This window comes from Homo sapiens, chromosome 2 (genome assembly GCF_000001405.40).
Source record: "Homo sapiens chromosome 2, GRCh38.p14 Primary Assembly".
In the NCBI taxonomy this organism is placed as follows: Eukaryota; Metazoa; Chordata; class Mammalia; order Primates; family Hominidae; genus Homo; species Homo sapiens.
Genome location: NC_000002.12, coordinates 185,782,845 through 185,810,650, shown reverse-complemented (window position 1 = coordinate 185,810,650; position 27,806 = coordinate 185,782,845). Strand labels below are relative to the sequence as shown.

Sequence of the window (27,806 nt, the reverse complement as noted above, 5' to 3'; positions counted from 1 at the left end):
TATAACGCCCCACTCCTTGGTACCAATTTTCTGTGTTAGGACATTCTTCCACTGCTGTAAAGAAATTCCTGAGAGTAGGTAATTTATAAAAAAAAAAAAAAAAAAAAAAAAAAGAGGTTTAACTGGCTCATGGTTCTGCAGACTTTACAGGAAGCATAGTGGCATCTGTTTTTGGGAAGGCCTGAAGAAGCTTCCAATCATGATTGAAAGCAAAATAAGTGCAGGCACATCACAAAGTGAAGGCAGGAGAAAAATAATGTGTATGTGTTGGGCAGGGTGCAGGGGAGTGACACACACTTTTAAATGACCAGATCTTGCAAGAATTCACTATTGCAAAGACAGCACCAAGCCATGAAGGGTCTGTCCCCATGACCCAGACACCTTCCACCAGGATCCACCTCCAGCATTGGGGATTACAATTCAACATGAGATTTGGGCAGGGATAAATATCAAACTATATCAGGGTGTGAAAGCTTAAAGCATTAATTAGCATGTTTACTAGCCTTGAGATTCAGTTTAGTGGGTTGCAGAAGAGTGCTGAAAAAATTTACTCTAAGCTTATGCTCCAGGAGGCATGGTTCTATAAAACTTTGCTAATTGTCCGGGCTACAGACTACATGCCTAAGCATACTCAGCCCTCCCACAAATGCATGCCATCAGTTAAAGGGATTTTAATAAAAATCAAAATGTCTGATGGATCAGTGCAACCTATCTGTTGGCGAGACAAATCTTTTGTCCTCAGTAATAGTTTCCTTGTAATAAGGACATTATTTTTGGCATTTTAAATTCCCGGTTAAAATATTTGGGAGCTGAGTATGGGGTTACAGGGGAGAGTTAGGTCTAGAGCAATAGGGAAGAGGCTCATAAAAATAGCAGCAATACTGCAGCTGGTTTTAAAAAAAACAAGTGTGTAAGTGGAAAGAAAATGGGTACATCTTGAGAGGCCAGGGCAAATGGGAAAGGCTAATATAATTGAAGTAAAATAGAACAAATGTAATCTAAGAGTTGGCAGTCCAACGTTTGCTGATGAGTGTTACTAAAAGGAAATGAGTATTACTCTGGTGCTTTAAATTTGAAAATTAAAACTATTTTAGATTATTCCACATATCCTGATATTCTTTTAACTGGCCTGTTTGAACACCTTTAGATATCCATAACGAACTAAGGAACTATACAAGTTTGCTGCTTTTAAATATTTAAATGACAATTATAACTTCTGTCAGTCTGGTTTTACTGTGAAGGGTATGTGCTTACAATCTCATTCTTAAAAAAAAACTTTCAAAAGGATTGTCTTAGGAAACTAGCCTGAGACTTTTAGAGTGAGCCACAGAACTAACATGACAAATCCTAGTAAATAATATGACTGTATGGATGAACTGATGCAACTAATTCTCCTATTGGGCTGAGAAACACCAACAACAATGAATGCATTTCCATATACTTATTTGAGGAAGGAAATCACAGAAGAACCATGTCTCACTATTCACTCATTTTCATGCCATTGCTTTTGCACTTACCTCTAGGGGTTTTACATCCAGTCTTCCAGTCTTATCCAATGAGGTACGTCTTTCTGTCTTTCTCTTTTCTAAATCAGGTGATCCTAAGGAGTAATTTCTCCCACTTATTGATGCTCTTCTCAGTTCTGCTATGCTATGTCCAGTTCTTTTCAAACACTCCTGCTTAAGTTTCTCAAGAGGTTGAGTTTTTATAGAAATAACTGCTAAGTGTTCTGAAATAATTTTTGGATCTATTTTGACTGGTTTTTTTCCAACATGTGGAACTATTTTAATTGGAGATTCCTCTTCAGATAAATTTTGATCTAACTTTTCTTGCTCTAATTCAGGAATCACATTAAAAGCATGTTCTTGGGCCTTTTGAACAATTCTATTAACGTCTAGCTCTCCAGAGAGATCAGCATTTGAAATTGTTGAGTTAATTGTATCTAATGGAAAACTTGAAACTCCATCAATAATTAAACTAGCCACTTTTTTAGGAAAGGCTGTATTTGTATCTTTTATATCATAATAAAATTCTTTGTTGGTTCCTGATTGTTGCAGTATGTTACTATAAACGGAATCGACAACCTGATAAATCCTTTCTGTATTTTCTGGATTTAAACAGTGCTCTTCAGGATCAGAAGCTATTAGACTAATGCTACTTCTGGAAATTTCAGCTGTTACCAATTTTGACAGTTGAGATGCAATTTTATTTAACTCAGTCTTTGATAAGTTTTTTTCATCTTTGCTTGAGGAACTTGGCAACCTTATTAGTTTAGCCAAGAACAAGGCCAACACCTCTTCTAAAAGTTTGGCATCTAATGTCAAACCTTTTCTGGATGAAGACTTTTCCTTAGACTTAAGTTCATCAATAATTTTGATCACTTTTTCCATAATTTTGACAGCTTCCAGAACTAATTCTGAATTTGATACTTCTTCCTCTACTTGAGGTTGAAATTCAGAATTCGAAATTGCATTCACCATTAAAAAGCCTATTGTATCAGAGAGGACATTGCTTTTACCCATTAAATCTTTAAATACAGAAGTATAAGAGCCAGAGTGCTTTAAAACACTGGTATAAATAGAATTAACTATGTTTTCAATAGTTGCATTATCAGCTACAGGCACAGTAGGTGATTCCTTGGTGGGTGGTACAAGTTTAATCTTACTTTTGGAGATAAATTCTTGGACTGAATTTAGTACTTTTGAAGTTATTTTTTGCATATCAGTCTCTAGAGATTTTGTTCTTTCTTTATGTACTTTTGGAAATATAGATAAAAGCTTTGATAAAAATTTCACAGCAATTTCTTCTATTATGTTATAAGACAGCTTATCAGCATGTGAAGGTTTAGGTAGGGGCACATCAGTAGTTTGGAAAACATCTTTAAGGATCTTTTCAACGATGTTTTCAACTTCCACACACTGATGTGGAGTTAGCTCTCCACAAAAATAGCTCTGCAGCTGATTGCTAGCCACTTCTCGTAGAACCAAGTCAACTATGTTTTCTGAAAGGATTTTGCATCCACTGGTTACACAATTTTGTATAATCTCTTGTGATCCAAACTGTGGCAAGAGATTATTATAAACAGACTGAACCACTAATTGAATAATTTCATCATCATCAGATTGTAAGGTTTCTACATACTGTATAGTCATATATTTATCTTGGGAGATCTCTGTTGCAACTGCACTTACTAACTTCATTTGAAGGAAATTCAGTTCTGTGGACAAATTGTCCTCAGGTTCTTTTGTTTTTGTGCTGGATATTGTTGAGAAAATTTTGGAGAAAAGAGCAGAAATCACATTCTCCAAAAATTTATGAGGTAATATTATTGTATATGGTGATGAAGTTTGACATTCTTTGCTGGCTGTTTGGGCCAACTTTTGGACCTTTTTAACAACATCCTTAGATTCCAGAGGCAAACATGCTGAAACTGAAACCTCATCACAAAATATCAAGTTAACCTGACGTTGGAAAATTTCATTTATCACTGCACTAGTTAGTCTTCTTGCTAAATTTTCTCCATTACTGTTTATATTCTTCCAAATAGAGTCTTGAGATCCATAGTCATTTAAAATATTACAAACAGAGGAGTGAACAACTTTATTGACCAATGTTTTGTCAATTGATGGTATCTTATCTGAAGAAGGTTTTCTCATCATTTTATGCATAGGTGGCATTTTATCTGCAGATTTTATCTTAATGCTGGATGGTGCTTCATCTGTAGTTGGCTCTTTATACCTTGGAGGTACTTTAGGAACTGAAGACACTTTACCCCCAGGGAACTGATTTCCCTTATCTGGCCTGAAAACCTTAATTTGAGCATCTGAGAACTCCTTTAACAGTGAATTGATGAGTTTCATAGCAGTGTCATAGAGTTTGGCTTGATTTTGCTTATCACTAACATTTTGACATCTATCTTGTATTTGTGTTTCTGGTATAGAAGAAAAGATCAATTGTTTAACCATCTCAGTAATAACATCTTCTAAAAACTTAGCGGGAAAAATTCCAGGTTTACTTTCTCGTTGGTTTTGAGGATCATCTGGTTTACTGGGTTCACTTTTAATCTCCTCTCTTACTTTCTCTTTTTCTCTCTCTTCCTCTTCTTTTTCTTTGGCAGAGATATTTTTGTTAGTTGAGGAGGATACTTTTTTTGTTGTAACAGACTGTGCCGAATCCCTGCTAATCTCTTGAATTACATTTAATACATTATCACCTGGGGGGCTTTGGTCATAACTGAGTTTCGAATAATATGCTGGTTCTGGAGAAGAAGATAGTTCTAAAACATCTTCAAAAATATTTTCAATGACATTTTGAACATGTTCATAATCTGAGTGGTGTTCCTCATCCCTACACGTTTGTGTTGGAGAGTCTCTTCTCCCCTCATTGCTTGATGTTCGAATTCTTATTTCCAAAGTATCTGTTGTAGTCCCTAGATTTCTCTTGGACTTCAAGGAGGATAACTGAAAGAGCTTGTCATCTTTTTTAAATGAGCTTTCCCTTGCATTGTCAATCTTCTTTTTATAGCCTATTTCAGAATCTGATCCAAGTACTTCCTTCTCATATTCTGTATCATCAATTATTAATGAAAAATGTGTGTATATCTCATCATCTTTCCCTTTTTTATCTGTTGGAATTAAATTTCTTTTCTTCTCAATTTCATTATTATTAAATGTTTCACTCAAATTTGGCTCCTGAGTATCTTTACTTTTCACAGTGGTAGTTGAAGTAACTTTTGATACATTCTCACTATGTTTTTGAGTACAAATTCCCACTTTATTTTCATCCACTTCCTTTTTATTTGTCACACCTGTAGCCAACCCTGATGTTAGGTTAATCATGCCGCTTTTCATAATTGCATTTATAGAGCTAAGTACTGGATTTTGGATGTCACCTTTTTTCACTGATGTGTCCTTGGTTTTAAAACTTTTCTTTCTATTCATTGTACCTCTATTTATTTCCAAAGTGCTCATCATGTTTTTGCAATCTGGGGTGGAAGAAGTATCTTTATATGATTGATCTGGTAAAGAAAGTTGGTTCTCTTTTGCACATCTGCTTATTTGTGTAAAGGTGTTTTGTGGTAGGTGTTGAACCCTTTGGGTGATATTATCTGGATTTAGAAATGAAAAGAAGGTGGAAGACCAGTCTCCTGAAAAAAGTGGTTGAATCCTGAATGCAGATATTGCCTTCTGGGTTAGAGCAGCAATCATCCCTATAGCAATGTTACTTTCATCACCTTTTTGAATATCATGAGATGTGCATTTTTCTATGAACTGTTCATATACAAAATTGGATATTTTATCAACTGTCTCTTTATCAATTGGTGGAAAAGAAAACATTTTTTCAGCATTTGGTAAAACTTTAATATCACTTTTCTTAAATTCCCTTATCAGAGAATTTGCAAGTTTTAGAGCCAAGCCCATAATATCTAGCTCTGCCATTTCATTTTTCTTAGAATCTTCAGTAATAATGAGGAGAGAACAAAATTTGTGAACAAGGTCAATGATTATGTCTTCCAAAAATGTAGCTGAATAGAGAGAAGGCTGTGTCTTTTCTTTACCAGATTTAGCAAGTTCAGAGACATGGTCATAATCAGATAAGTCACTGAAAGATGATTCTTCACCATGTAAAAATGGCTGTAAATGATGATACATGATTTCTTTCATAATAAAACCAGCTAATTTACTGAGGAATGAGCATCCTTTTTTGTCTGCATCTTTTTGTACTTCAGCTTGGAATTCAGATGTTTTCAAAATATTATTACATATGGAGTCGACCAAATTTTCAATAGGTTCTAACTGCATACTTTCTGCATTATCCTCTGCCATGGAAAGTCGAATCTCATGTTCAGAAATTTCTTTTATAATTTCATCAGTCAATTTTGAAGCTGCCTCCACAAATTCATCATCCGGTGGAAACTTTTTCTCTTTTAGTTCATTTTCAGTGTGAGTTGAAGGGAAGACATGCCCTAGAAGCCTGTAAACCATATCTTCTAAAAGAGAATGAGGCAACACAGTAATATATGGTGGCAAGGCATGGCTATCCTTTGTGATTATGTTAAGCACATTTCTGATGATATTATCAGCTTGGGGATACGAATAAGAAGAAGACTCTAATTCTCCTGAAACTAATGACTGCACTTGATAATCATATATTTCTTCCAATAGCAAATAATATATTTTCCTACCAAAACATATTGTGTCACTTTGTATAACCCTATGTATTTGAATCAGAGATTTATATTGATCTAATACTTTTCCATATACTGAGTTGACTATTTTTTGAACCATTTCTTTGTATCTTTCTGAGAAACACAAATTTTTATCAAAGTTATCTGCAACTAAAATCTCTGATGTGGTGAACTCCAGAACAATTGAATTTACCAATGTTGTAACAATCCTGGTAAGTTTCAGTTTCACTCTATCTGGATTTTCAGTAACCAACATGTTATGTGAAAATGCATAAAGAATTTTGCATAAGAGCTCAGAAATTACTTCCTCCAAAAAGACAGATGAGTTCACAATAAAAGATAATTCTCTTTGTTTAGGATCTATTGCTTTCAATTTATAAGTTTGATCAACTGCTGCCAAAAGGAGAGTTTTATCTTCAGATAAAAATGATTGAATATGATGGTTAAAGATTTCTTTTATTATAAAACTCGCTATTTTTGAAACAGGTATGTCACTTATGCTCTTTTTATCTTTTGTAATGGACTGGTATATATTTGAATGAGAAAGATCAGCATAAATGGAATCAACCATAGACTGGATATCTTTTGCTGAAATCATACTCTGTTTTTTATTCCCATATTTAATAATACATATTTCATGTTTTGAAATTATTGACATAATTTCATTTATCAGTTTTATCACTGTATTACTTAAGTCTGATTTAGTAGTATCTGACTGCTCTGCACTGGTGTTCAATGGACTTATCTGAGATGTAAGCTGAGTAACTATTTTTTCCAAATGACTATGTGATAACATAGTGGTATACATTGTTGAAGCTTGTCTTTGGAATCTTGATTTACTTATATCATATTGAACTCTTTGTATTAAAACATTTGCACTGAGTTTGGAATGTGATTTAAAAGGCAGATTTGCTATAAGATCTGGATGAATTTGGAAATCAAAAATTTCAGCCAGGATGATATTAGTTATTCTTGCAGCCAATGTCTTTGTGTCATTTAGAAAATCTTTATTGGGCACGACTTCCATTTCATATTCTTGCAAAACTTTGCTGTACACCATGTCAACAATTGTTTTGACTACATCCCTCTCCACTGGAGGTAAACACAGTCTTTCCTCAGTATTATCTATAATGCTAACTTGGGCTTTTGAGAATTCCCCTGTAATCAAATGTATGAGTTCTTCAGCTTTCTCAAACAGTTCATCTTCTGAATCTCTTATGGATTTTGTTTGTACAATGCCTACTACCCTGTGGAATATTTTTCTTAAAACCCCAGAGATTACATCTTCCAAGAATGTTGAAGAGTAAACACTGGTATAAAATAACTGCCTTCTCTCATCATCAAAATATGTGTCTGATGAAGATAATGATTTTCCACTCACAAATGGCTGAAGATGTTTTTGACAGATATGTTTAATGATGAAACCTGCTATTCTATCTATAAGAATGTCATTACTGCTTGTGATATTTTGCACAGCTGATTCTTGAGAACCAGAGGTTTGCACAACATTTGCAAATACTGAATCAACAAGGTGCTGAATATCATCTTCTGAATAAATAAACTTGGTTTCTTCTTCCTCTTTTGAAAATCGAATTTCATGTTGGGAAACTTTCATCCTAATATCACTAACTAGGTTTGAAGCAATGTCATTGAAATTCACTCTTGATATATCTTTTTGGGTGTCTCTGTTTAGAACCAGGCTAGATGCAGAAGAAAATAATTTAGATAATAGTACTCTGATCATATCTTCTAAAAATGTGTATGGCAGCAAGGTGTTATATAGAGGTACACTCTGGCTTGGCTCAGTAGATTTACTGATGTTACTAAGGATGTCCTGAACAATATTCTCAGCCACTGAATTAGAATAGGTAGAAGCTGAAAAATCCCCAGAAAACAGTGGATGAAGAAGGTAATCTGAAATAGCTGCTACAATTAAATTGGTAATATTTTCCACAAAAATGCCACTGTCTTCAGACTCTTTATCAACAGCAAGGTCTAGCCCATGCTGCTTTAAAGCATTTCTATAAACTGAGGTGGCAAGTTCATCCACAATATCTGTATTGAAAGAAAAGAAAGCCTGTTCTTTGTCATCATAGAGAATGTGAATTTTAGCTTTATTGAAATGCCTATTTATGGAGTTTACTATTCTTTGGGTCATGTTTTTCAACTCAATTTCAGTGTTATGCTTTGGGCTGAAAATCTTTGACAAAAGTCTGGCAACAATCTCCCTTACAAATGAATCAAGGTGAATATCTAAAGGTGATTGCTTCTGAGGTCTGTGTGACTCTATCACTTCACTCAGAACCTGTGTAACAATAGTAGACACTGGATCCAGTGGAGTCCTTGGATGACATAAAACCTCTCCACTCAAAAATGGTTGAAGATGATTTTCGATAATCTCTTGGATGATAAAGCTGGCTATTTGGTCAATCATAATTGGGCTTCGGCTTACTATACTTTTTTGTATTGAAACAAGAGAGTCAGACATTTGCAAAATATTACAATATACAGAATCCACCATCTTTTGGAGGTTTTTTCCAGTATATAGATATTGATTATCATATATAGTGAACCAGATTTTATGTTTTGAAATGGCTGACATAACCTTATTTATTATACAAGTGGACATTTCATTAAAATCAGAACTCATTAAATATTTTTTTCCTAAAGAGGAACATGTAATGGGTGGAGGAATTAGCTGAGATAAAAGCCTTCTTATGACATCTTCTAAAAATGAATGTGATAACATGGTACTATAGTCTGATGAAGACCTGGGTAGAGAAGTAAATTCTGTTAGGTTACTTTGAAGCTTTTGCAATATAATTTCAGGTTTGAGAGGGTAATATGAATGGGGTATGAGATGTTCCTTGAAGCAAGATGGCAGTTTGTAGTCTAAAATCTCTAACAATATGCCATTTGTTATTTGTTCTGCTATTGAGGCATTGTCGTATACCGGATTATTACCACAGGCCACTTTTAATTCATACTGCTGTAAAACATCATAATAAACTGAGTCAACAATTTTGCTAACAGTTTCTGTATGAACTGGTGGAAAACACAGCCTTTCTTCAGCATTCCGTAGAACAGTGACTTGAGCATTATTAAATTCATTCACTACATTGTTGACAAATAATGTATTCATCTCATTGAGCCAGGACACAGTGATGTTTTTATTTTTGCCCCACAATGACATAGAGAGATTAAAAAACAATTCTGAAATTATTCCTTCCAAAAATGTGGCTGAATAAACACCAGCATATATACCTTCCTGATGTAGCTTATTATGAATGGCTACCTTATCCATTTCCTTTGTTCTCTGTCTTTCAAAAGGTGACACAGAAGAGGATTTTACTGCACAATGCTTGTTAAATGGTGCTTGTATTTTGGAGCTAACCACACTGGGATTATTCAGGGATACTGTCAAAGAATTACTATCATAGCTCCTGAGTTCTAAAGAACTTTTACTCTGTCCTAATTCTATTAATTCTGACTTTCTTGCTTTTATGAAACTAGACTGTATTTCTCTTGTTCTGTAGTTCAAATGCTTATTTGCAAAAGGTAGACTTTCCGGAGCTTGTTGTATGCTGTGAGATAATTTGTCCATCAATGATTTAACCAAGCTGTGGGAAATAATAGTAAGCATAGAGTCTGATGTCAATAAGTCTTGATCAATTTCTGCCACATTCTCCAAAAGGTCTGACATGTAATCTACTTGAAGGCATTCACAGTCCATTCCTCCCTTACGATAATCAGATTTTCCATCTTCTACACTTTGAAGCATTTTTAAAAGTTGACATTCTTCTGCTGATGTTTCCTCTGAAACAGACCCTTTATCAGGAAAAGCAGTGCTTGTGCATTCTTCCAAAAGTATTCTGATAAGTTTCTCACATACAACATTGAGAAGAAAAACTGATTTTGAGGAGAGCTGTAGGTTATTGGTAAGTATGCTATTAGGTTGCTCATTATTCGAGGAGTAGAAATATGTTCTTTGTATTTTACCAGAATCCATACCCGTATCTAGGCATTCATCTGGTGAAAATAAATCTGAAACAATATTAAAAACTTTATTGACTACTTCTTTGGATTCACTTGTTTTTAGGTTACCAACCAGGCTGTTTAACTTACATGCAAGATAACTTAACTTATTTTTTTGAAAAAGTTGACCAATTTGTTGAGTAGAAAATTGCCAGTCTCTGGGGCTTGCCTGTCTATTGATTTTGTTGCAAAGGGGTACACTATTATTTCTATGCATAGAAAATGATTTGTTTCTTACATTGCTTTCAAAGTGATAATCTACTTCTATTTCTTTGGACAGTACATGAATCACTCCTACTAAGAGATCCTGAAAGAGGTCATCAAAGCCACCAGAAACTATTCCTGGACAGTAAGTGTATTTTGTAGGTATGGCAACCATTTTCTGTGCAATGTCAGCCTGTATAATTTTATTATTAAAAAGAATTTTAATAATGATTTCAGAAATACATAAAGCAAGTTCTCCAATGGAAATTGACCTGCTCTCAAACACTTGAGAATGAATTGAAATAATCTTGCTAAATGTTGCTTCTTGAATTTCCCATGCTTTCTCTTTTTCTCTACCCTTTTTGGTGCCATCAGAAATGCTCGAAGTTAAATGGTAAAGTACTGACTCAGTGAGATGTTCACAACATTGATAAATTGAAGAATCATCGTATATGTTTCTTAGGAACTGTTTTGATTCATATTTTTTCCTTGACCATGTAGAAACAGACATCTTTTCCTCACTAAAAACTTAAAAAAGGAAACATTGTAATTTTAGCATGGATTAAAGAAAATATAGAAAATTCAATATATTTGAAATTATTATTTACATATATATTTCACCCTTTGAGCAACTCACTAAAGAAAAATCTAAACAAAAAAAGAAATTAGATTTTCCTCAAACATTTATTTTCTCACCTTGCAAAATCTTAATTTTAGCCAATAAATTGAGAAAATAACACCCCAAAATTCAATCCTCTAAGTCAAATGCTGATGTCTGCCTTGGTTGGATGGTTATGAACTCTTAAGAAGCTGGAAAGCTTGGGGCAGAGAAATAATTTCCAGGCTTAGCGATGCATCCTACCATGTCTCCAGTGATACCTAGAGGTGCCATATAATTATTTTAAAATAGCTTTAGACAAAACATTTAATGTTATGCTATGTTTTACTTTTAGGACATTAAGGAGTTGTGTTGCAATATCAAGTTGACTAAAATAAAAGTGTGGCAACTCCAGAAAAGCTAGTAATAGATTGCAATAGCAGTAGTACTTTAGTCCCTAGATTATAGTTTGTCACAAAGAAGGAAGGTTGGCCCAGCCAGGTGAAGAACTCTATATTTGTTTTGTCCAAAATTCTATTTGTTACAAATCATTACCTATTTGCAATGGCCAACTGCTGGGTGTGGCAGCCAAGAGCAACACAGTTTTTTTCCTCAGAACTTAATTATATATTATATATCTTCATGTGTTATCAGGCAAGACTCTACACAGATAGAAGACTTTAAGCTGAGCTTTGACTGCTACACAGGTTTTGGCCATGTCAAGATACAGGGAATGAGGAAAAGGTATTCCTAGTGGAAGAAGGAACATGAGCGAAGTCACTGGAAGACCTTGGAGATGTCTGAGAATAGGAATATAGAATTGTTAGAGCCAAGTGTCAATGTGATGAAATCATGGATCTTCTCTTGCTTGTTTTGCTTTTGTTTATTTTTCTGAAATCAATTAAGTCATGCCTGGAGTAAGTCTATTTAAGAGTTTGTAGTTGTAGCTACATTACCGTCCATCTTGGGAGAATACTGGTTTTAAGGATGGAAAATAACCTCCTCGTGCAGGTGGGTAGGACTGCTAATATCTCCAATTAGAATGATGTGTGATGTATCTGGACTGGTGATGTAGCAAGTAATTATTGGTAACTGAAACTACTGACCTAGATCTGGGGTATTATAGTAATACTAAACTGAATTTTATTAATTGTCAATAATCAACTGTTTTTGATATACAAAATGACGATTACATGTTGTTTCACCTAATATATACACATGAGTATACTTAGAAAGATAATGCAAATATAATCCCTGTAATGATACAGTTGGAGTATTATATCTAAAAGGAATTTAAGTCAGAATACTGGAATGCAAATAAAACAAGATATTCAATTCTACTGTTCTTTTAAACTTTGAATAATAATAACAAAGCCTTCAAGAATACAAAAATTAAATGACTTTTAATCAGTTAACTGCACATCCCATATGATTATAAAGAAGTTATGCATAAGAATTTTAAAAACCCTTCCAAATTTATGCCTCATGCTCAACCAAAATCTCCTGCTTTAAAATGGCCTCATTTTCTCTCATTTGTAGATAGAGAAAACTGAGCAACACATCCTTCAAATTCAAATCCTGAAAACATTTATTTATTTTTATTTTTTTGCATTGTGATGAATTAAAAAGCAATTGAGGCTGAGCACAGTGGCTCATGCCAGTAATCCCAACACTTTGAGGGGCCGAGAAAGAAGGATCACATGAGGCCAGGAGTTTGAGACCAGCCTGCGCAACATAGCAAAACCCTGTCTCTACAAAAAGATTTTTAAAAATTAGAGTGCAGTGGCATGCCTGTGGTCCCAGCTATTTTGGGGGAAGGCTGAGATGGGAGGATGTCTTCAGTCCAGGAGTTCAAGGCTGCAGGAAGCAATGATCATGCCACTGTACTCTAGCCTCAGTGACAGAGACACTATTTCTAAATAAAATAAAATAATACATTTAAAATAAAATTAAAGTGCAACTCAGTAGTCATCTACCTCCAAGGGTATTTTCAGAAAAATAGTGAATACAGCTTTTTAGACAGGAGATCTTTTAAACATGTCTTTTACTGGTTTTCTTCCTAAATCATGCAAATTTTTAGGTACGTTCTCTCTTGCTTACCTGTAGTTTCAAAGTTCTTCAAATATGTGACCACAGATGTGGTGACATGTCTTGCTATCAGATGAACTTCATTGGAACCCATTTCATGATCAGCAAAAGTAAAGGCTTCAACTTCCTTCACAGTCTCTATCTTTGGGTACTCCTTTTTTTTCAATTTTTGCAAAAAAGAAGAATCTTCCCGGCTGGCTTCAAGGTTTTCATTTTCTTCCTCAGGTATATAGTTGATTTTTTTATCCTGCATTCTAAGCAAACTTTTTTCGTTATCCTTTTGCCCTCCAGATACTTCAGATAAAGAGCTTTGTTTTGATATGAAAAATGGTTTCATTATTTCCCTGTTCTCATTAGTGTGTGGTTGACTTGGAAAGCCACAGCTGGATAGCACAGTATTGACAATATTTTCTGCAGCTAAACATATTTTGAGAGGGGAAATGGTTGTCTGAATTTGGTTTGGTTCAACAACTGGTTTTAGGTTCTCATAATGAAACACTCTTAGATTTTCACCTTTTCCCATTTCTATGAATGACAAGACTTGCTTTAATGCTGCTTCTGTGGAGTCACTTGCTTTCCTAAGCAGCTTTTGTAAGAAACTGCCTTCAGGGAGGTAGCTATTTCCTTTCATGGTCTGATCAAAACTACCAAAGTTAGATTCCCTTGGTCTGTGGTCTTGTACTTTGTTTCTAGTAGAACACGATGGCATAGTTTCTGAATCAGGCCTTTTCGTTGGCTCTGAGTTTTTAACTGTGTCTTCTACAGAGGATCTGACAGAGGTGGGTAAATCTGATGAAACCCTGTACTTTTCTTTCATATCTTCATCTGAACAAAACACAAACCCAGTTTTACTCACTTGTGAAGGATTAATCCCCAAACTACCTTCCTTTAACTTTGATGTGAACATTTTCATATTAGTTGCTAATTCAACCTGATTAACAGTGTAGGCATTTTCAGCTCCTTGGAACAAACTTTCTCTTGAAAGGTTTTGTATCAAAGACTCATTGAAATAAGTACACTGGTCCATTAGTGTGCCAATGATCTCACTTGCTACAATGTTCTCTTTCAATATGCTAATTGAAGATGGTTCCATTTGGCTTATTTCGTTGTCTAGCTTGTTCTTAATTACAGCAAGCATGTCACTGATGATATTAACAGCATATGTAAGTAATTGTGAATGGAATGAATGAACCCGTAGAAGGATATTCTGTATGTTTTCCTTGAAATTAATAGTATTTGACTCGGATTTATCAGAAAACATTTTCAGTGGTTGTAATTTTGGCAACATTTTTTTGTTTAACAGTTTCTGTTGGATAGAAGAAAGGTTTTCTATAGGCATTTTCACAATTTCAGAAAACTCATATTTGGAGATATGTTTAAACTGCAAGTCCACAAATGACTCTAACATGTTTAAAACCGTTTCTACAATCTCTTGAACAATTTGGTTGCTGGAGCCCACAGAAATTTGGTCTTTTGTCTTTGTGTTATAGATTGGTAAACTGCTGAGGCTATGCTTGTTTGGAAAACCATATTTACTTTTAGCAGTAATGTGTTCTTTACTGTTTGATAGAGTTTCTTCACTATCTGGAGTGGGAATTTGGGACAGAAAGCATAGCTGTAGTTTTTCAAGTAGCATTTCAACAATTTCCCTTCCAAACATATTAATTTGTGCTTTAGTATCCTCGGCTCTAGTAGAAGCTCCTTTAAAATGATTATAAAACCTGCTTTCACAATTCTCAAGAGGGGGCAAATTTAAAAGTGAAAGAGAATATTCTAATTCTTTTGCTTTTATTGAAATTTCAGTCAAAACATTTTCAGCTATCATCAATAGCTTACATTTTTCATTTTCCTTGTCATTTGATTCTGTTTGCCACTTGTCAAACAATTTTTTAAATATACCTTCTCTAGGAAAAATGTGCTCTAGCTGTGAAGAAACATTCTCCAAGTAAAAACATGCTTGTTGTTTAGGAAGGGATCCTGTGCCTATATTCCCCTGTGAAAGTCTGAGATGTGAGGATTTCATCGGGTAAGCCAAATTGCAGTTATTGGTAACATATAATTCTTGCAAAACTGTATTAACTATTTTACCTGCTGCTATGATTTGATCAGATGGTAAAGCTTTGGTTTGCTTTACCTTTCCAAATTCCTTCACAATTGTTTCTAGGATGTTAATTATTATATCCTTGGCATATATTTTTAGTTCTGAAGTGGGCAATTTTGTGTCCAGTAAATTTTTGGCATCTCCAGCTGACATGATGTGTGACAACCCAATGGCAGTCTTGGATCTGCTGTCTTTTAGGGTCTTCTCTCCAGGACCTAACTTGGTTTTGCTTTTGGCCTTAGCAGCACTCAGTCCTAAGTGTGTTTTTTTTGTAAATTTAGGCAAAGTGGTAATTTTTGATCTTGTTTTTAAATGTGCTTTAAAGCATGGCTTAGGGTTGTCCTTAGGGCTCACCTTTAAAGGAAGTGAGACAAAATTTGTGATCTTATTGAGAACCATTTGAATTAAGTCTTTCTTCACTTGCAATGGTAAATATGGCAAAAGAGTGTTTTCCATCACAGAGATATTTTGACTGTCGACATAAGAATAAGCCTGTGATATCGCATATCTAGGGGAATTACTTATTTTTCCTGCTTGTTTAGTTTCTCTAAACCTTAATGGTTTCATTAGTAAGGAATCATTGTGGTCAGATATTTCAACTTCTGTCCTACTTTTATTATTTTCATATAATGATGTCACAACTACCAAGTACATTTTCCCCAAAACACTTTCAACTATGTCATTTGCTACACTGTTAATATGTGATTGAAAACTGTTTTTCTGTGTTGTGTCTGATGTTTTAATCTTAGAATTAGATATAAAGTTGGCAGTTTCATTAAGTGGAGGCAAATGGCCTGTGACTTCCCTTACTCTTTGATACAACTTATTCAAAAGTTCTTCCACTGCAATGAGCAGTTCACCTTTTTCTTTGTTTTTTGATTCTCCATTTCTCATAAATATTTCTTCCAAAACAATTATCTGCCTTTTGTTTTCCAATATCATTTGGTTTTGCTCTAATGGATACTTTGTAAATAGAGATTGTTTGGTACTTCTTTCCTTCTCTTTGTGACCCAGCAATATTTCATTTGATAAAGCTAATTGTGAAAAGTTAGAATTTTCTTTTGAATTAAAACAAATTTCCTTTACAGATCTTTTATCATCTAACATCTTTAACATACTGTCAACAATTTCACTCACAATGATGTTTTCTTGGAACAAAATATTGTTTTGATATGGATATATCTTTTGAATTTCTAAGTCTAAGTCATTTTTAATAAGCTTCAAAATGGCACTGGCAATGACGTCAGCATATGTCTTAAGCCTAGCTTGCGATAGGTGAATTGTGGATCCAAGTTTTTCTCTGCGACCAACAAAAGTGAAATCTGTAAGCTCTTGGCTGAGAATGGTTTCAGTTGCTGATATTTTCAGGACATTTACATCTGATTCCACTTGGCTTGAATCATAAAAGATGCTGTCATTTTGTTTACAATTTTCCAATTCTGGGATAACAAATGACTTTTCTTTACTTTGGAAAGCAAGGGTAATTAATGAATCTATTCTTTCTGTGGCAAAAGATTCCAAACGTTTAAAAATAGTTTTAGTAATGAAGTTAGCATTTTCCTCACATGAGTCAGTAGCAGATTTCTGAGTGTCTTCTTTCTCTACTACAGTTATCTGATTATCATCAGCATAAGCTGATTTCTGATTTCTTGAATATGAAAAACGCTCTGTTTTTCTTTCAGTTTTTGACCCCTTAAGAGGCTGTTGACAGTCTATTTTTGGAAACGTATCACAAAATGTCAGGGGCAATCTTGCAGAAGTAGGATTCTTTGCATTTATGACAAGCGTGGCAGCAGAACTGAGATTATGAAGAACAATATTCACTATATCATTGGATATCAAAATGACATCTGATTTAGGAACTGAAAGCTTAGGAATAATCTTATTTGCACCCTCCATGAACATTTCAGAATTTTCTTCTGAATGTTTATCAGCTATGCTACATTTCAGAGTGGGTGTGGCAAATGAGAGATTATTCTGAAACAGGGTTTTTTCATAAATATCACATAGGATACCTTCAATGGTATCTTGTATTTGAAGTTGAAGTACTTTTCGATATTTGGTCTCATTGAGCAGCTTTTCAATAACACCTTTTTGCTGATCTAAATCGATCTCTTTGTCAGAACTGTTTTTGTCACATTTGCCTTTACGTGATATAATGTCTAACAATGCGTTAACAATTTGACTTGCAATACTTTCAGAAATCCCAATGTCATGAGTTAAAAAAGGATTTTCCCTTTCTTTATCTAATTCCTGTTTGATTCCTTGTAAATTTCTTCTAGCCACTTGTAGTGCATAAGTATTTAATTTAGACAAAGACAGTTGGCACAAGTTGGTCTTTCCTGACTTGGTATGATCTACTGAGCAACAGGAAAATTGCTCATCAGAATATGAATCTTTGGCTGATAATGCTTTGCTCAATGTACTGTGATCTTGCTGAATAGGTAAAGCCACTGGAACTGTAAAGTTGACTTGAGAATAAAAGAGAGATTTTACTTTGGAAGTAGCAAAAGTTTCTAAATTTGTTAATATTGCCTGTACAATATCTTCAGCTAGATTTACCTTTGTCTCCTTGTCAGCAACGCTGAATCTAGACTGAAAAGTACATGGATTTTCATCCAAAGCCGTGACAGAGGACTTTCCTTTATAGGTGTGTTCATGAGAAGAAACATTTGCTGAAAAAGTGATAGTTTTATACCTATTTTCCCTTACATTTCTTTCTGTCATGGCAGCTGAATAAAGTTTGTGAAATACAGTCCTAACAATATTATCTGTTACTATGGTTATATCTGCTTCCGAAAGTAAAGGATCCATCATTTTATCCATAAATTGAACAGATGTTTGGGGAGTTGGCTCATCAACATTGTGAGGCATGCCATTAAAATTAGAGTGGGAGAGAGAAAGGACATTTAATTGATTGATTAAAGTACTTTGAAAAATTTCATTCAAAATATTTCTTATAATGGGAGCAATTGGAGATATATGTGGTTCTTTGAGTTTTACTTCAATTTTGTTTAAGGTTTTTTCGAGAGCCCATTGTTTAAGAGAACGTGTTTTCACTTCTTCTCTTTGTGGGGATCTCTCATCAATAATTTTTTTCGCTGTATATGCATCATCTTCTAGAAATGAATCTGATTCAGCTCCTCCAGGAAGACTTCCATATGTTGGCCTGTATCGATAAGTTTCAATGCCTCCCCCTTCAGATTCCATTTCATTAAACATATCGGAAGATACTGCATCTAAAATTAACTTGACTACATACTTAAGTATTTGAGTCTCAGGTGGTGGGTTTTCTACACTTGTCTTCAAATCTGATGAGGTCACATTTAATTCTGTTTGAATAACCTTCAAAATAGCACTTGATACCTTCTTTGCATGCATATATAAAGCAGACAGAAATGATGCTTCATGTGTGTCTCTGGAAATATTGGTGCTTTCATATTCCCAGCCTATCTTATTGCTTTTCTTATTTCCATCATTAATAGCACCCAAAATTTCTAAATGTCCGTTGGCAAACCCTTCCAGTTTAGCAAAAACCATATTAAGAATATCTGAAGCTACAGCTTTTAGTTTATTTGGATGCATTTCTTTTGTGCTTGGTGTTTTGGAAGACACAGGAGCAACAGGTTTTGCCTTGCTTTTAGTCTCTTCTTTATTGTCCTCCTGAACCCTTCTGGAAACTATGCTGGAGATTATTTTGGTGGATTTGGCCATTTTCTCAATAATTGAAGCAAATGATGGGTTGTCAATGTCAAGAGACTCTGAGATAGCTTTTAATCCACAACTTGCAAAACTGGTATCCATGTCAACACCACATAATTTTGCAAGGATATAATCCAAAATTGCTTTAGAAATTAACTGAATATTAGACTGCAATGCAGCAGCCATTTTCTGATTCTTATTGGTCATCTCTCTGCTTTGTTGACTACAAGATAGCTGAGAATGAAGATGGGTCCCCAGGAGCTTGCTTAACATTTCATGTAGTGTTTCCCCAATTCTTTCTAACACTTGCAATTTTGCATTCTCTTTAATATGGTTTCCACCATTGACACTGTGGTGAGTACAAGGAGTAGCCAAATATTTGTGAAAAGATTTTTTATCTTGCCTATTTGGCAAAATGCTTTGTACATCAACACTGTCAGTTGCAGACTTTGGCTTACGAGAAGAGAGTGAAATGCTTCTTTGATGTGCATTTTCACTTGATAACAACATATCATAAATACAGGTTAATAATGGACTCGCCAAAATGTCATCATCAATACTCGTGACAAGAGATTCTAATTTTTTATCAGTATTAGCAAAAAATCCTTTATCTGTAAGGGATTTGGTATGGTCAATCTCCCTAAGATTTAGGTTTTCCTTGTGAAGTTCCAGTTCATTCTGGATAGCACATAAAACAATGTTTACTATTTTAGCTGTGTACTTACTAAGTTGAGATCGTAATGAAGATTTGAAGCCCATATGCAATTTTGGACAAATAAATGACTTCAGTCTTTTAAAAATTGTACGAATGATCTTATCATTAATGTCATCTACAGGTTTAGGTTCACTTTTTCCAGATTTTAACCAGGGAGGCTTTTCAGGATCAACGTCAAATAAAGATAAATATTTCATTTTCTTTTCACTGTCAAACCATGTTTTTAATGGGTATTTATTTGGTGCTTCTTTGACTATGTGTTCAGTGTCAGAATTATGTAAGGAAATCTGATGAACTGATGATGAAATGGAACTTTTAGTGGTATTGGAAATGTAGTTTGATGCCTTATGAAGTATGTTTAACACAGAATCTGTTATTTCTTGAGCCACTGTACTGATTTCTGAAACAGAAAACATCTGGTCTATCCATTCTTGATGTGACAGTCCTTGAGGCTTTTCTGAAACAAGAACTGAAGCTTCACTGCCAGTTTTGCTGTCTAAGTGACCAAAAGGAACGGAAGATATGTCCTTGAGCATTTCCTTTAAAATACTTGTGACTATGTTTTCTGAAGCCTTTTCTATTTGATGCTTTTGATCTTGGCTGAAAGTTGAAATGTCTTTATTCGAAGAAAGTTTTTTCTTTAAAATATCTTCATGATTAGTAGATGGTGGCTCAGTCTTTAATTCCCAATCATGAAATGCAGCTTTGCTTCTAGAACCAGGCTTTGTAGGTGGTTTGATATTTCTTTTGCATTCAAAACAAGTGTTTCCCTTTGTAAACCAATGATTAGGAATCTGTTCTTGTGATTTTACTTTTTCATCTTTGAAAGTTGAATCAAGCACATTTTTTACAATATTGTCTATTTCCTCATTTTCATCATCAGAATAAAGAACCATGCCTGGAACATTTATAGGTGGAAATGGTCTTCCAGACCTAGGACTATTTGATAATCTAGTGCCAGTGAGTCTGTACTTTTCTTTGGTGTCAGAAGGACTACTTATTCTAGGTTGCCTACTTTTTTGAAAACTTTCATTTACTGGTTCCTGATGGAGCTGAAAAAGGATGTCCTCAAGTAGCTGAAGGAGTACTACGGTTTCTTCAGATGCAATAATTCTCTCATTATTTAGTTCAGTTTGTATATAACCTAGTATAGCATTGATTGCTTCCTCTATATAAGCAACCAAAGAAGACTGGGAAAAAATATTTGATATTAAATTTTGTACTTCTTCATTGACAATTAAACTAGCTTCATCAGATTCAAGACTAGATTTATTTTTGCCAGCTCTTTGAAGGAACATACATATTGGGTCTGTCTTATGTTGCTGGCAGGAAAGCTTATTTGTGTCTTTAAGATGAAGAAATTCATTTTGCTTAAAAGAAACAAGAGTCATTAGCTTTTCTAAAATGGCATGCACCATGTCCTCTGCAATATCACACATTGGGTCCAAAGTATGAGGCATTGAATTTTTCAAAGGTTTTCCATTAGATGATGTGAGAAGTTCATCACTGGCTGCTAAACTTGGTTTAATGTCGACTGACAAATCTTGTGAAAACATCTCAACACATTTTTTCTCAACTGCAGACTCTAACTTCTCAAGCATATTTTCCACAATCTCAGAAGCAACTGAGGGAATATGAGCATTGGAAAGCAAGATTTCTTTTTCACGTTCACATTGTTCAACAAAAACTTCAGCAGTAACAGAAGAGAGAGAGGGAATGGCCTGGGTTAAATCAGACATTATTTCTCGCAAAATGCTTTCTAAAATCACTTCAGTTTCCCCTTTCAAGTAACATTTAAAGTTAACAAAAACATTTTTTAAATTCTTCATTTCATCCATGGCTTTTGCTGTTTTATCACAATGCAATGAACTCCCTAAGCTATCTGTTTCAGTGGTAGCATCCTTAGATTTTTTTGTGCCTGTTTCAAATGATGCTAAAAGGTGACTATCTGATTTACAACTTCTGAGCTTAGGGTATGAATATAGCAAGTTGGTTTTATTATATTTATGTTTAGAGATTATAGATTGTCCTTTTATGTGACATGTTTTCCCCACAACTGTTTTTTCCACATGTGCAGGAGGAGGTTTTATAGGTGTGGTTGGTCTCCTTACTGACGTGTCAACTACAAATGCACAGGGTTCTGCCTGAAATGTTTTAGTTGTTGCAGATGTGTAGCTTCTATATGTAAAGTCTTCACTGCACGTGCTACAGAAACTTGAACTATCTGAAGAGAGGATGGAGTCATCAGATACTGGGTATGTATTATTTTGCAATCTTTTTTCATACTTTGTGATGGCTGGGTACAATATACTGGTCACTGTAGCCACAACCCAGGTCATTACATTCTGAATTATAATATTCAGTTCTTCAGAAGTTACCTGGAAAGGAGGTAAGCAGAGATGAAAATAAAGTCATGTAACAACTTACTCTATGTTTTGGAGACAGAAGGTAACATTTAATTTTTATATCAATGTATTGGTGGAATACCATTATGGTTTATGAAAGAAAATAGTAAAGAAATATCAGTTTAGAAATTTAGAATTTAAGATGAATTTCTAGTTAGTTTATTCTGCACTACAGTGAAGTGTTTTTTTGTGTAAGATTTATTTTATTCACAGTCTCTCAGAAGTTTCTTTTTCCCCTGGCATTTATTATCAGTATAAATGATTTTTTTTTTGTTAAAAATATCACTAAATTGCTGTCTAGGCACACAACATGCAAATATTTTGGAAAGAAAATATGTGATGTTTATGATCCAGCTAATTTTTAAAGATACATTAAATATTTCTAACAAAACATTTCTCAAGACAGATCCAGTCAAAATATTTGGATGCTTTCAGAAACATCTGCCTAGCTGAGATGTGGGGAAGGAACATAAAGCATTTTCTCTCCCAGTCCCTGCTGAAAGGGTGAGCCTGTGGTCTATATATATAGGAATGACTAAAGTTAATTGTTAAGAATTATTTGATAGGCAAAAATAAAAGCTAATGCTTTATATAGATTGACGGGCTTTGTATCCAATAAAAGCGATAATACAAATAAATACAAATAATACAAATAAAATAAAAATAAAATAAAATAATACAAATAAATACAAATTGTCCTAGATAGGAAAGCTGAGAACAGATACTAAAGTAAGGTAACAAATTAAAATTTAGATAGAAAATAAAAGCCAAGCTAGATTTGGGAATCAAAGAGTAGGGAGGGCTGAGCAAGGTTAAGAAAGTTAGACTATTAATTTGTTTGAGCTGGAGCCAAGAACCAGATTTGAATAACCATTTCCTTAGTGACTAATGTTGCTGTCATAGATTTGAACTGGACCATGGGTAGAAATAAATGCATCTGTAGAATTCTATAAACCTCTATTTAGCAACTGCAAATATATTTTGTGCTTACAAAACTCATCTTACATATAATAAAGTAGTACTCTATTTTTAAGTTGTTAAAATTCTTAAAACATAGAGCTTGTAAACACAAGTAATTGGCAGAAAAGCTTAGAAGGCTGATATGTAGGTCTCAGTGTAAATATGATTCCTGTAACTAGGCTGCTAACACCCAAAATATTGCCTAAATTAGTCTGAAATTATCCATATTTCAGAGAAACATTCAAAGAAAAGTTAACATATATGTAGCACACTCTCTTCTGACTCACTTGAAAGCATTTGAGGAGCACCCCAGGAAAGGCCATTTTATTCAGCTGTAATCCCCAAATACACAAACATATTTTTAACTTATTGTATAAGCAATGGGTTAGTGGCATTAAACACATATTTTGAGATGACAATCTTATGTTGTAAAATACATGTCTTAAATAAATACAGTCTAAATCAAATACTTAAGAATCATACCTAAATGTTTATAGGAAGATAATTATTCTAAATCAACTACAACACATATAAATTATAAACTAAGACATTCAAAATATGTCATTTTTCTTATTACTGGAGATGATAAACAAAAACCTACATTATTACTCTTAGGTTAGTTACGGCGAAGAGATTCCAACCTCAATATATAAAAGAGGGATATATTTCTAACGTTTTCTTTGTAGTGAAATATGATAGATAGAATCCTAGTTTTTAATTGCTTTCTATTACAACATTAAGCTGAAAAAAATTCCCTTGGGTCAAAGCTTTTGTATTTGCTGCATATTCTATGAATTGAGCAAGTTTCCATGTTAAATAGCGTCTCAGAGCATGTGTTGTTCCTCAAATGCTTTCTCTTTCCTGACTTTTCGGTCTAGATCCAGAGTTAGGCCTCATAAAAATACACGATCTTATCTTTGCCTGTTCCAAGTCTCAGCTCATAGGTGACCAGGTCCCTTTTCACAAAACTACTGAAGACAGATCCAAGCATCTCAACTCACCTACTACTGAGTTCACCAGCAAGATCTGAAAGGCCTTATTGATTAATGGCTTCCCATGATATAATAGGCTTGTGGTATTTGATTCTCTTCCTATGATGGTTATAGATCCGTTAATATCTCACCATTCTATACCCATGAGACCTCGTCTTGAAGGGTCAATATTATCTTTTGATAACAATTTTGGACCACAGAAAAGTATAAGAATTAACTGAAAGTAGACTTCAATGAAGAAAAAGGGGCAAAAAGGAAGCCTAACAAATATCAATGGATGATTCCTATTACTTAGTTAACAAAATGTTTTCTATTATGATGCATCAGAAAGTATGACTAATATGTTGCTTTCTCGGTGGATTTTATGATACATACTTTTTCTTGCAAGCAATTTTGCAGCAAGTTCTGTTGCCTGTAAAGAAAGGTTGATCATTTAGTTATTACATAGAGTCAAAAATTTATAAAACTTTTCCCAAAATTTCTAATTATTGAAATCATTTTGTTGTATCTAAGATTTTTTCTCTAGAAATTCAAAATGAAGAATACACTGTTTTTTCCAACCCCCCTATTTCACTTCCTCCTTAGACTGGCCTCTAGTTTCGGAAATGTGCTTTATTACCCAGGGGTACAGAATTATAGCTGCTGCATAAACAGTGTATCTTTCTGATCCTTATACTTCCAACACACCTTAGCCATGCCTACATTGTGTTTCTCTGAAAATGGATATAGGATTTGCAGGAAGTGGGCAGATGAGTCCCTTCTGACTGCTAAAAGCCCTGATGGAGTAGCAAGGCATCTGACCAGGACTTTCTGATAATCCTTTATTTACTCGTTCAAATGCCATAGTTCCACTGTCCTCTCCCCATATTCCACAGTAGGAAGAAAATATGTGAATGCTTATTCAGTAACTATGGGTTAAAATCATAAGTTTCTAGCTATATTTAATACCAATTTAGATGCATTCCTTTTATGTGTATGACAATATTCTATCATGTGTTGTTAGATTTACCGTCACACACTAATGAAATAAAAACACAGTTTTCTAAATTGCAAAAAAGAATAGCTCAATCATAAAAATAATAGAAAAATAAATATTAAAATCTAAAACTGAAGTCTGATTTATTTTTGTATATTTTTGCTGATTTGTACTGCTGCTTTTCTTCTTTCTACTTTCTTAAGAAAATTGGCACTCCTTTCTAGGCCTGCACTCTACATGATCAAATTTACATTTCCCCCTAGGGATATAATTCAATTTTGAGAAATAGCCAGACTGAAAACTATATCCTGTATTTTGGCAGAAAAGAAAAGAAACTTCACTGGGTTCAGTTCATAAAATGGGCTTCATGACAATAGTCTACCCTTAGATTTGTACCTTTTGGCAGTATTCAACTAGGAGCATGAAAGCTGATGTCAGTGACATGTTCTCTATCATTTGTCCTAATTTGTTTTTCTAAGATCTGGTTTCTTAGGTCAACTCAAGTTTCCACAGGTTTTCCTCTTAGATATTCTGCAACCTAATGCATTCAGATTCACTTTTCTGTTTTCTTCATGTTATATCATTGGCACAAAACATAACTAACTCAAGGAGTTCTATGTATTCATTGGTAGCAGTTCCCAATAGACTTTTTGCTCCAAAAGCATACAAACAGCACGAAAGTGCAAAGGCCTACAGGTAAAATTAGTCAGGAAACTGAAAAAGCTTCATTGATGACTATTAGAAAACAATTTTATTAACCAGATAAAGCATGGCATCAGCAGAAATGGCAGGGTAAGTATCTTGAGAAATTCATTCCTCCAAAAAAGTAAGAAGTAAACTGGCGAAAGAAAAATGATGAGAATTATAGTTTCTGGGGCTCTAATTAATTAAAGGCTTGCAACATTCCAGAGAGCACTTATTTAGGAAAAACAGTGAATCTAGGTAATAGCAGTGGGTTTTGGTGTTTTAACTTGTCTTATTTTCATCCACTTTCTCCAGCTTCATAATATCCTTGAAAAATAATACCCTGAAATCATAGCAACATAGTTTTATCTTGGTATCTGCCTAAAAACTAGCATTATAGTTTGAACATAGTAGGTTCTCAATAAATGTTTGATAAATAAATTCCTATTTAAAGTCTTTCGGATCTGTGACTACTTCTCTCTAATCCCAAATGAAGCCTTTGCAGGCCACTAATAGCTTTTGGGAGCTGGTTCTGAGTTTCTTTCTTTCAATTTTTCCTATATATTGGTGTCAAAGTTATTCATTGTGTATGCTAATTTGACCATTACACCCCCACTAAAAACCATCAGACTATTACCCAATAAATAAACTACAAGTTTTAACCACAGTCTTCAGGGTAGTAGATTTATTGCCTTCTTCACTGTTACTCCTTATACCTTCCCTGTAATACAAAGTTACTTATCACCTGAGTGCAACCCTTAATTGCTGCAACTTTACTCCCACTGCTGTCATATTTACTTTATTTTCATTCCCTTGGTACTGAATTTTCCTCTCAATTTTATAAATCTTTTGTAACATTAAACAAATGATCAGGAACAAGAAGACTAAGCAATAAGTGAGAAAAGAAATGATGGAATAGATGTGAGGCTTCCACAGCAAACTCCTGTAAAACCTGCAGTTAAACCTGAGCAAGAGGAATGTGACATATGTGTCTTTGCTCTTTATTTGGATCTGTGTGTATGCTCTTGGAGCAGTGGCGAAGAAGCTCCAGGTAAGGTATAGAGTTCTTTATTTTTCATCAAGCTAAGATTTTTAATGAAACAATATCCAAAATGCTTGCTATGAAAGATTCAAGTGATTTTTGTAGTTCTACATTCTTGGGTAGGAGAAGATAAAAAATGCAGTTATTACAACTATATTATGAGCCTCTTCTAACCTTTTCTTTAAAGAGGTAGGTATTTATATTTCTAATAAATAAAAACGTTTGTATCAAATAAGTAAAATAAACAATGTTATTTTACATATGGTCTACACACGGTCATCAAGTTTTATTGCTTTGAACTAGACAAGCCAGTTTCCTTCCTTCTGCATCTTTTACAGTGTTATGTATCATATGAATACTCAATAAGTCAAACAAACTGATATTTATCAGTCTTAAAGTAAAAATTATTATTTCAGGAAGCCTTGTCTGAACATGTCAATATCATTTGCCATCATGCACCACTTATTTTACTCAATCATCTTCATAGGAATTTGGGGTTTGTAAAGTCTATCCTAGACTTCATTTGGCTTGTTCATTTTTAAAAAAGATGATGGCATTGGGTGTAAAATAATACAAAGCTCACTGCCATTACTTAGATTCATGTTTTCCTCTCTTTCTTTTCTTGAGTTGAGAAAAACAGATATAAACATCAACAAAATAGGTGGTCACTAAGGTTTGAAGAATGAAAAGTCCCTGGGCTTAACAACTATCTCTTCTAAGTGCCATAATTTCCACTACTAGAGATTATTATTTTTTATTAAACTGCAAAATAGCCTTTGGGGTGGGGGAATAACCGATTAAGTCATTTATACTATAAACTATTTTACCAGCCTTAGACAGCCAATAATCTCAAAAAACATAAGAAATGGTAGCTGTTTCAAAGAAGAGAAAAGCAAAGAAATAAAGCCAGATCATGAGAAGCTACCGGAAGAAGGCTATGATGCGGATACACTTGAAAGTGGCATGGAGACCCTGACTATAGCTGGATTATAGATAAGGAGAAGGAGAAAGGAAAGGACAATGATTCACTTTGTCTACAATTTAAGCTTAGTGCTGAAAGTCTGCAAAAGACTAAGTTTCACTAAATCCAAGTAGAACTATAAAAATGGAGGATTCC

The 27,806-nt window shown here is 34.2% G+C and overlaps 1 protein-coding gene and 1 long non-coding RNA gene across 8 annotated transcripts in view; one reads left to right on the top strand and one right to left on the bottom strand.

Annotated features, from left to right (window-relative positions):
• FSIP2 (fibrous sheath interacting protein 2) overlaps positions 1–27,806 on the bottom strand; it is a 96,157-nt gene that overhangs the window by 22,640 nt on the left and 45,711 nt on the right. For 4 of the 6 annotated variants that reach the window (XM_047444333.1, XM_047444329.1, NM_173651.4 and 1 more), the window contains exons 15-17: positions 24,363–24,399; positions 13,125–22,008; positions 1,518–10,954 (exon numbers count right to left, since the gene is read on the bottom strand). In XM_047444333.1, the coding sequence (XP_047300289.1) occupies positions 1,518–10,954; positions 13,125–22,008; positions 24,363–24,399 (18,358 nt within the window). The remainder of the gene's footprint in view (positions 1–1,517; positions 10,955–13,124; positions 22,009–24,362; positions 24,400–27,806) is intronic. The other 2 variants (XM_047444331.1, XM_047444336.1) reach the window with 2 other exon arrangements.
• On the top strand, positions 10,500–26,960 carry FSIP2-AS1 (FSIP2 antisense RNA 1). 2 transcript variants are annotated; one of them, NR_144454.1, is made up of 3 exons: positions 10,500–10,571; positions 21,708–21,885; positions 22,442–22,631. It is a non-coding gene; the product is annotated as an FSIP2 antisense RNA 1 (long non-coding RNA). The 2 variants fall into 2 exon arrangements; NR_144453.1 differs by lacking the exon at positions 22,442–22,631 and adding an exon at positions 26,521–26,960 and having other exon boundaries at positions 10,501–10,571.